The 9,892-nt window shown below is 41.7% G+C and overlaps 1 annotated feature.

The window, feature by feature from the left end:
* Positions 686 to 1,885: an enhancer, noted in NCBI's record as "BRD4-independent group 4 enhancer chr4:190615457-190616656 (GRCh37/hg19 assembly coordinates)". NCBI's record gives its function as "activates an origin of replication core promoter dependent on BRD2, P300/CBP, MED14 and CDK7 cofactors, and independent of BRD4, by STARR-seq in HCT116 cells {active_cell/tissue: HCT116}" and the evidence as "EXISTENCE:reporter gene assay evidence [ECO:0000049][PMID:35650434]".

Raw genomic sequence — 9,892 nt, forward strand, 5'->3', positions numbered from 1 at the left:
GACCTCCTTGTTCCTCCCTAGTTCGTGTTTCCTACACATTGTTACATTTCTTGCCTGTTGTATAAAACCCCATTTTTAGTCAGTCAGGGCGATGGATTTGAGGCTGAGCTCCCATCTCCTCAGCTGCAGCACCAGATGAAAGCTTCTTCCCTGGAAACACTCACCATCTCAGTGATTGGCTTTCTGTGCAGTGAGCAGCAGGACTTAGACCAAACCCATGGTGTTTTGGTAACAACCTCACCAAAATAGATGGGCACACACACAAGCCTTTAAAGATACAAAGTTAAACGGATAGTATGGATCATTCAGTATAGAGGAAACAGCATAGCAAATGTATAGAGACGGAAAATTACTAGATATGTTCCAGGAGCAACATGCAAATTCCACTGCCAGTTTTGGCTGTGAGGTCAAACAGATCTGATCTGAATGTTTGCATTCCTCCAAAATTCATACATTGAAACCTAATTCCCAATGCAATAACATTAAGAGGTGGGGTCTCTAGGAGGTGACCAGGTCATAAGGGTGGACCCTTCATGAATGGGTTTAGTACCCTTATAAAAATGTCTGAGAGAGCTTGCTTGTTTCTTCTGCCATATGAGGACATAGAGAAAACTCCATCTATGATGAATGGGCCCTCAGCAGGCACCGAGTCCACTGCTGCCATATGAGGACATACAGAAGACTCCATCCATGATGCATGGGCCCTCAGCAGGCACCAATTCTACTGCCGCCATATGAGGACATACAGAAGACTCCATCCATGAATTGGCTCTCAGCAGGCACCGAGTCTACTGCTGCCATATGAGGACATACAGAAGAATCCATCCATGATGCATGGGCCCTCAGCAGGCACCGATTCTACTGCTGCCTTGAGCTTGGACCTCTGGCCTCCAGAACTACTAGCAATACATTTCTGTTGTTTTATAAATTACCTAGTCTAAGGTACATTGCAGCAGAAATGGACTGAGAGAGACATCTTTCAGAGAATTACCTCTGTTTGTTTGTCTGTTTCTGTTTTGTAAAACTGGAAGAAGAATAGAACTTACAGTTCTGTGGTATAAGATTGTGTCCAGAATTGGTGGGTTCTTGGTCTCACTGACTTCAAGAATGAAGCTACAGACCCTCAAGGTGAGTGTTACAGTTCTTAAAGGCGGCGTGTCTGGAGTCTGTTCCTTCTGATGTTCAGATGTGTTGGGAGTTTCTTCCTTCTGGTGGGTTTGTGGTCTTGCTGGCTCAGGAGTGAAGCTGCAGACCTTCGCGGTGAGTGTTACAGCTCTTGGGGCAGTGTGTCTAGAGTTGTTCGTTCCTCCTGGTGGGCTCCTGGTATCGCTGGCTTCAGGAGTGAAGCTGCAGACCTTCACGGTGAGTGTTACAGCTCATAAAGGTAGTGTGGACCCAAAGAGTGAGCAGTAGCAAGCTTTATTGCAAAGAGCAAAAGAACAAAGCTTCCACAGTGTGGAAGGGGACCCCAGCAGATTGAAGCTTCTGGCTCGGGTAGCCTGCTTTTATTCTCTTATCTGGCCCCACCCACATCCTGCTGATTGGTCCATTTTACAGAGAGCCGATTGGTCTGTTTCACAAAGAGCTGATTGGTCAGTTTTGACAGGGTGCTGATTGGTTCGTTTACAATCCCTGAGCTAGACACAAAAGTTCTCCACATCCCCACTAGATTAGCTAGATAGAGTGTCGATTGGTGTATTTACAAACCCTGAGCTAGACAGAGTGCTGATTGGTGCATTTACAAACCTTGAGCTAGATACAGCGTGTCAATTGTTGCATTCACAATCCCTTAGCTAGACATAAAGGTTCTCCAAGTCCTCACCAGATTAACTAGATACAGAGTGCTGATTGGTGCATTCACAAACCCTGAGCTAGACGCAGGGTGCTGATTGGTGTGTTTACAAACCTTGAGCTAGATACAGAGTGCTGATTGGTGTATTTACAATCACTTAGCTAGACATAAAGATTCTCCAAGTCCCCACCAGACTCAGGAGCACAGCTGGCTTCACCCAGTGGATCCTGCACCAGGGCCGCAGGTGGAGCTGCCCGCCACTTCCGCACTATGAGCCCGCACTCCTCAGCCCTTGGGCGGTCGATGGGACTAGGCACAGCCCTGGAGCAGGGAGCGCCCCTTGTCGGGGAGGCTCGGGCTGCACAGGAGCCCATGTGGGGGTGCGGCGGGGGAGGCAGGCTCAGGCATGGTGGGCTGCAGGTCCCAAGCCCTGCCCTGCCGGAGGCAGCTAAGGCCCAGCAAGAAGTCGAGCACAGCAGCTGGTGGCCCAGGTGCTAAGCCCACTGCCCGGGGCTTGTGGGCAGGCTGGTGGCTCTGAGTGCGGGGCTCGCCGAGCCCACGCCCACCGGGAACTCGTGCTGGCCCTCAAGCACCGTGAACAGCCCCGGTTCCCGCCTGTGTCTGTCCCTCCACACCTCCCTGCAAGCTGAGGGAGCCGGCTCCAGCCTTGGCCAGCCCAGAAAGAAGCTCCCACAGTGCAGTGGCGGGCTGAAGGGCTCCTCAAGCATGGCCAGAGTGGGCGCCAAGGCTGAGGAGGCACAGAGAGCGAGCCAGGGCTGCGAGGGCTGCCAGCACGCTGTCACCTCTCAAGATAAAATGAAATAAATGGATATGAAGTTCTCAGCACAGTGCCTAGAAAACAATAAGATCAGCAAATGTTAGCAACCATAATAATAATTATCATTAGTTGCTGCAGTAGAGAGTTTATGTAGAAAACTAGAAGGATGTAGGCTAGTAAATGGTCAGGTCCTATCAGAAAACCATCCATTATAATGTGTGATATCAAATCTACTGTATCTCAAGTATAAGTTCAAAAAATGTTCAGAAGTCAAGCTCTTTCAAGAAAGGTCAATAACACCTATCATTGGCTCATCATCATGGTCCTTCAATCAGCTCTCTCCTCATTAGGAAATTTGCTATCTGTGAGAAAAGGAGTCTCCTTAATGGGAAAACGTGCTTTGGATTTCCGCTTGATGGGAGGCACTGAATACTAGTGAATTTTGCTTTGTGGCAATTAAATTGAAAGGTCAAAATATGCTAGTTTGGATTCATTTCTAACGTGGCAGATAACTACCAAAATTGCAACTATCACTAAAGCACTTTGATGTACATATGCAACAAAGGCAGAAAACTGCTCTGAATGTCTCCTAAATCAAATATGTCTCTTGTGTATCTTACAAGTAAAAATATCGTTTTAAGCGTTTCTTTAATGTGGAAAATTTTGCTAAGAAACAAGAGATGCCCACTAGTTTGATTTGCAGTTACATCCACTTTCATCAGCTGTTATGGTTACTGATAATTCTTGGCAAGAGTGTTTAACTCATATGATGTAATATTCAGCTTTTTAGTAAAGTTATTCTTTATATGCCTTATCCCAAATCCCAGCATACACTCTCTTCAGAGGCCATGTTTTGTGTTTGTCTCCATGCCAAAAGTAGTCATAATGGAATTCAATGCACATAGACGAAAGCTGGTTGAATAAATTGCACCTATAACCAAGAAGATCAAACATGCTTCCTAGTCTACAGGGTATTTTGCACGTAATATTGGAAGAGAGACTGTGGAGTATCTGACACATTGATATAACCTCCAGTTGCTAGATGCCTAGTAACTCCGTGCACGAAAAGAGTGTTTCAAGAGATTCTTTCATAAACAGAAGTTGCACAAAATGACCACAGGTCGCTCGAAACCCTAAATATCTATGATATTCTACCAATGCTATATTCACAAACGTGTCTTAACGGTTCTCACCGGATTCTATTTTACTCACTTTTGAAAGGTCACCTAATTTTTTAAAGTGAGCTAATTACTGTAGTGAGTAAAATAGTCTTGAATGATTGCAGGTGGCAATACTATCCTATTACCCTTCTAAAGGCTAAGGTGACACCAATTAAATTAAGGGTGACTGATAATTCTTTTTTATTACTACACCTGTATTCATATTTATATACTTTTCATTAATGCTCCTGGAGTCAGTTAAAAGATAAAGGGGAACTAAACTCAGCTCATTAATAAAATTTAAAAGTTGGTTTCCAGACTCTATATGCTGATTACTCTCTGCCACCACGAAGGCATTTTAAAGCAGCACAGATGAGCACATAAGCAACGAAAACAGACTTTCCACAAATAAACCTTGAAAAAGAAAAAAAAAGGCAAGATAAACAAGATCAGCAGGCCAGCAGTCTTGTCAATTCTTCACTGTCCCAGTGGTACTTTCAACTCATTAATGTTGGCTGCTGTGTTCTCAGGTGACTTGCTGGTATAAATGCCTCATTGTCTGGTAACCAAAGGGAACAGCATTTTATTGCCAGTAACCTGATAAAGAATTTTGAAAACAAGAGACACAGCAGATAATGAGCGTTTTGCATGGGCCCTCTACACTCTATAACCATTCAAGCTTTCCGAGCAGAAAGACATGACCTTTTCAGTCCTTGTGCCTTCTACGCTGTGCAGTGCTAGTCGGTGCCGGGATGAAGCTGACAGAATCCTCCCAAGTGGCTCCAAGCACAAATGAGGTCATCACAATGGAAAGCACTAATCCGACTCATTGTACTTACTCTAAACACATGAGCACTAACAAGTTTCCTCTACTTAAATGTTGCTTTTGTGTGTATGTGTCTGTGTTTGTCTGTCATTTAAAGGTATGACCAGATGCTACCTTGCAGCCTTTTCCTGGTAAACTCTTGGTCATTTTCAACATTTTCCTGACATTCCAGCTGAATAGTTATCATCACTTCAATTTTTAATACAATAATTTAAAGCATTCTATGATTCCAGTTTTCAAAAGGTACAACACACATAAGTACTTCCCTTAAGATGCTGATAACTAGTGAAAACACTATAGTGATAATTCTCTACTAAACAGCAAAATAAAGGCTAAAATGTTATTGATGCTTTCGCATTCTGTAGAGAAAGTGATTTTTCATAGCGTTATTGACTGCATTTCATCTGTTTTGCATATTGTTAATGAACCTTGTTCTCTTTAAAACAAAACAAAACAAAACAAAACATCTTTCTTTAAAAAAAAGAACTCACTTATTTCCTTGACACCAACATACACTATGACTTCCAAATTATGCCACCTCTGGGGAACAGTTTTTCATATCCTCTCAAGTACTTTTTTTTTTTTTTTTTTTTTGAGATGGAGTCTCTCTCTGTTGCCCAGGCTGGAGTACAGTGGTGCAATGTCGGCTCACTGCAACCTCTGCCTCCCAGGTTCAAGTGATTCTCCTGCCTCAGCCTCCTGAGTAGCTGGGATTATAGGCGCCCGCCACCATGCTCGGCTAATTTTTTTGTATTTTTAGTAGAGACAGGGTTTCACCATGTTGGTCAGACTGGTCTCGAACTCCTGACCTGCTGATCCACCTGCCTCGGCCTCCCAAAGGGCTGCGATTACAGGCATGAGCCACTGTGCCCGGCCAGTAATTTTACTCTGTGTGTTACTTGGCATTTTCCACTTTTCTGTTCTCTTTTGTGCATTTGTATTCTATTTTATATTAGTCCATGGTTGTGGCACATATTAAAGATGTTTGTAAATTCTTGTCAAGTAAAATGAATAAACGATCTGATGCCAGTTGTTCTTAAAATTATGTTCCCTCTCAATCTCAGAGGGACTTAATACTCTTCACACTTTTTACCGACTGAATGCAGGAAAATCCCAGGTCATCCATGAAGCCTGTGATTCTGTTGGTTCCATCGTCCAACGTGTCCCAGCTATCATTCAAGAGTGGACATAATGCTCTGCTCCCAGACCACGTCAAAGTGTCCACTCTGGGTGCCCCACGACAACCTACTGGCCAGCACTGACTACCAGACCCTGTTGAAGTGTCCACTCTGGGTGCTCCACGACAACTTACTAGCCAACACTGACTACAGGGCTCTAAACTAAAGGAGAGAACTGTTGGGTGGTTATGCTTGCAATTAGACCCTCCAGGGTGTCTACTACCACTGATGGAAGCAGGGGAAAATAAATATTATACATTCAGAGTTTGGCTACTCCAAAAGAGTAGGAGTCCCCCAAACACTGGGGACTCCTACTGAAGCATCATATATGAGACATATGAAGAGTAGAAAATGTAGGAAACATTGACAAACATGTATTAAGTCACTTCAATATAAGCCTTGGAAAAGTCTAGGAGCTCTATTAGAGATGCATGAATAGAATACAATCAGGGGACATGGTATGACCAGAGTTGAATAAACAGCATTGCTCACTACTCTTCCTGAAAATAATACTAAAAACAGCAAGAATATATTTTAAAATACAATTTCATTTTAAGTTGAACTAGGAGTAAATAGAAATGGACCATAGACTCAAAAGTACATATAGAGACTCTAAACAGCTGAAATCAAGCAAGCCATGGAAGACCAAAGGAAGAAAAGCACAGTGATGGCTTAAAGGCACAGTGGTGGCTGATTTCAGAAAGGGCTGAAGGCCAGGGACTCTGAAATATAAAAGTTGTATTCTTTGTTTGTAATAATGGATTCAGAACCTCTATGGACCGAGGTCATCGAAGACTTTCTGGACCCAGTTTCACTCAGAGAAGGTGATGCTCTACAAAGAGCCGATGACTTAGGTGTATCTGCAGAAGCCACTGAATTCTATGGCAGTGAAGGAGAAGACTGTTGGGTTGTTAAGCTCTTAGCCGTATCTGCAGAAGCCACCAAATCCTATGATGGTGAAGGAGAAGACTTAGCCATATCTGCAGAAGCCACCTAATTCTATGGTGGTGAAGGAGAAGATTTAGCCGTATCTGCAGAAGCCTCCAAATTCTACGGTGGTGAAGGAGAAGATTTAGCCATATCTGCAGAAGCCTCCTAATTCTATGGTGGTGAAGGAGAAGACTTAGCCATATCTGCAGAAGCCACCTAATTCTATGGTGGTGAAGGAGAAGACTTAGCCATATCTGCAGAAGCCACCTAATTCTATGGTGGTGAAAGAGACTTAGCTGTATCTGCAGAAGCCATCTAATTCTACGGTAGTGAAGGAGAAGATTTAGCCGTATCTGCAGAAGCCATCTAATTCTATGGTGGTGAAGGAGAAGATTTAGCCATATCTGCAGAAGCCTCCAAATTCTACGGTGGTGAAGGAGAAGATTTAGCCATATCTGCAGAAGCCTCCTAATTCTATGGTGGTGAAGGAGAAGACTTAGCCATATCTGCAGAAGCCACCTAATTCTATGGTGGTGAAGGAGAAGACTTAGCCATATCTGCAGAAGCCACCTAATTCTATGGTGGTGAAAGAGACTTAGCTGTATCTGCAGAAGCCATCTAATTCTACGGTGGTGAAGGAGAAGATTTAGCCGTATCTGCAGAAGCCATCTAATTCTATGGTGGTGAAGGAGAAGATTTAGCCGTATCTGCAGAAGCCTCCTAATTCTACGGTGGTGAAGGAGAAGACTTAGCTGTATCTGCAGAAGCCATCTAATTCTATGGTGGTGAAGGAGAAGATTTAGCCATATCTGCAGAAGCCATCTAACTCTATGGTGGTGAAGGAGAAGATTGTTGGGTTGCTAAGTTTGCAAGACAACTTTGCCTCCTCCTTTCTTCTTCATAGAAACTTTTCACAAATTATTGGTTCAAAACATTTCAATTAATTCAGTAATTAATAATTATTGATTTATGTAAAGACACTATAAGAAAAAACTATGGGGAAAAATGCAAACTTATCAATGGAGAAAGATCACACAACAAAAATCAATGCCAAAAGCAAGATGAAAATGTTACCCAAATATTTTGCCATGAAATGAAAACTTAATGGAGCTGTCAGATCAAAAATGGAAGACCATGAAGCAGAAATATAAGAACTCAGAGAAAGAAGCGGTGAAACGTTAGAATAAAAAAAATGTGCTGACAAAAACCAGCAAACATGAAGAAAAACCAAGATCTTCATAGAAACGAAGGTGAACCTAGAAGAAGTAGAGAAATTAAAACAGACTTTAGAAAACTCAGTAAGGAACATAGAAAATATAAATAAAAAAGTAAAAGTAAATACAGTAAAATTAAAGGGAAAATCTAAAAATTATTAGAGGGAAAACAGTGGCTATAGAAGATAAGCAGAGACAATCTAAAATATATCAAAAAAGGAAGGTATGGAAAGAAAAAAAAAAAGACAGCATTGAAAGAGCATGAATCCCTTTAAGAACTGATTCAACAAAACTTTTCCAGAATAAAATTAGGTTCCACAGAAAAGGAAACACTAAGAACACCCTACAAAGTTTTAAAGAAACATTAAGGAAAAGATCCTTTAATCAAGCCGCTCTTAAAAAAGAGAATGTAACAGGCTAGTCTCATATTTTTTCCTAGCAAAATTTAATGCCAAGATACAGTGGCCCATTACTTACAAGATATTCAAAAAGTGGAATGAAAACCAAAGGTTTTATACCTAGTCAGGCTACATTTCAAAGTATACTTCAGGCAGTTTTAAATACACACAAACTCAGGGAATATTTTCCTACTTGGGAAAAGTCCCAGAGAACAAACTTTAGCCAACAAAGAGATAACTAAGGAAAAACTATGGTGAAATATTATAATTGTGAATTGTGTTGACTAAAACTAAAATAAACATGAGAACCAGGGTAATAAAATGCATATAAATGCCATATGCCCTGGAAATAAACCAATATCGAAACTAACAAAAAGTGGAAGAAGAAGGAGGAAAGAATGGAAGACATAGGGTAGATCAAGGCTGCTGCATACGATGTTTGTACAGTTTTCAACTTTGAGGGGTCTTGTTTGCTGAGACCCTGACATCATCTGCAGCTCCAGAGCTGAGAGACACGATGTGCACACACACAGGTGGGGGTCTGAGGAGGAGGACTTGGTCAACTCAGCTGTAACAGCCAGGACTCAAAGTGGATCATTCAAAGCAGTAAATCAAATGTTAGAAATAGAAGCGTATGTAATAGCAAAATAACAAATACTAAATAACATGCCACGGATACTCTCATTGACCGAATTCTAGTAGTGAGAGGCCTGGAAGGGAGTAGAAAGAGAAAACACCTAGTTTTAACACAGCGGAAAATAGAGAAGTAATCACTCCTGGGTAAATGAAGAGATCATAAAAATACTGCATAAAGCTGTCATTTAAAAAATTACCACTGAGCAAGTTCCCAGACGAAGCTACCAGAAAAAAGTTTTTCTCAAGCAAATAAATCAGATCACATAGAAAACAACTTTTAAAATTTATGAACACATAAGATGCTATCATATACGCATGAAACACCAAGCATAACTGTTATATCAATAAATATAAATGTAAATATGATATACACATATATAATTAACCATTACTGAAGGACTTGAAAAAGAATTTGATCAGATTTCCAGAGGAGAGGAGCTTGGGATACTCTTTTCCCCGCAGTGAAACAACCGTTTAACTGGTAAAAATTATAAAACACACTTAAAGTCTCTGGAAATTGACCTAAGGGCAGATGCAAATTAATAAGCATTTATTCAAGAAAATCTCCTAAATGTTGATAAAACAGTGGAAGTCTGTGCCCTCTGAGCCAGAGCTAGTTCCTATTCCCTCCTCCAGCTCCATGTCACAGGAGATCTCCACATCACATGATCACACGTCACATGACCAGGAACATGGGAACTCCTTTTCAGCCCCACTCCCAGTCAAAGACGTATGATTACACCCCAGGTGATCTCATCCCCAGACACCACCCCTCTAAGTAAAGGAAATTAGGATGCCATCTCACATCAAGGGGACAGATGAGATGTTTCAACAATGTTGATGTTTGGACAACTAGGAAGATATATGAAAAAATAAAGTTAGATTCATTTCCCACATCACATACCAAAATAAATTCCAAATAAGACAAAAACTTTAATGTGAATAAAAATAAAACTAGGCCGGGCGCGGTGGCTCACGCC

This window comes from Homo sapiens, chromosome 4 (assembly GCF_000001405.40).
Source record: "Homo sapiens chromosome 4, GRCh38.p14 Primary Assembly".
NCBI classification, from domain to species: Eukaryota; Metazoa; Chordata; class Mammalia; order Primates; family Hominidae; genus Homo; species Homo sapiens.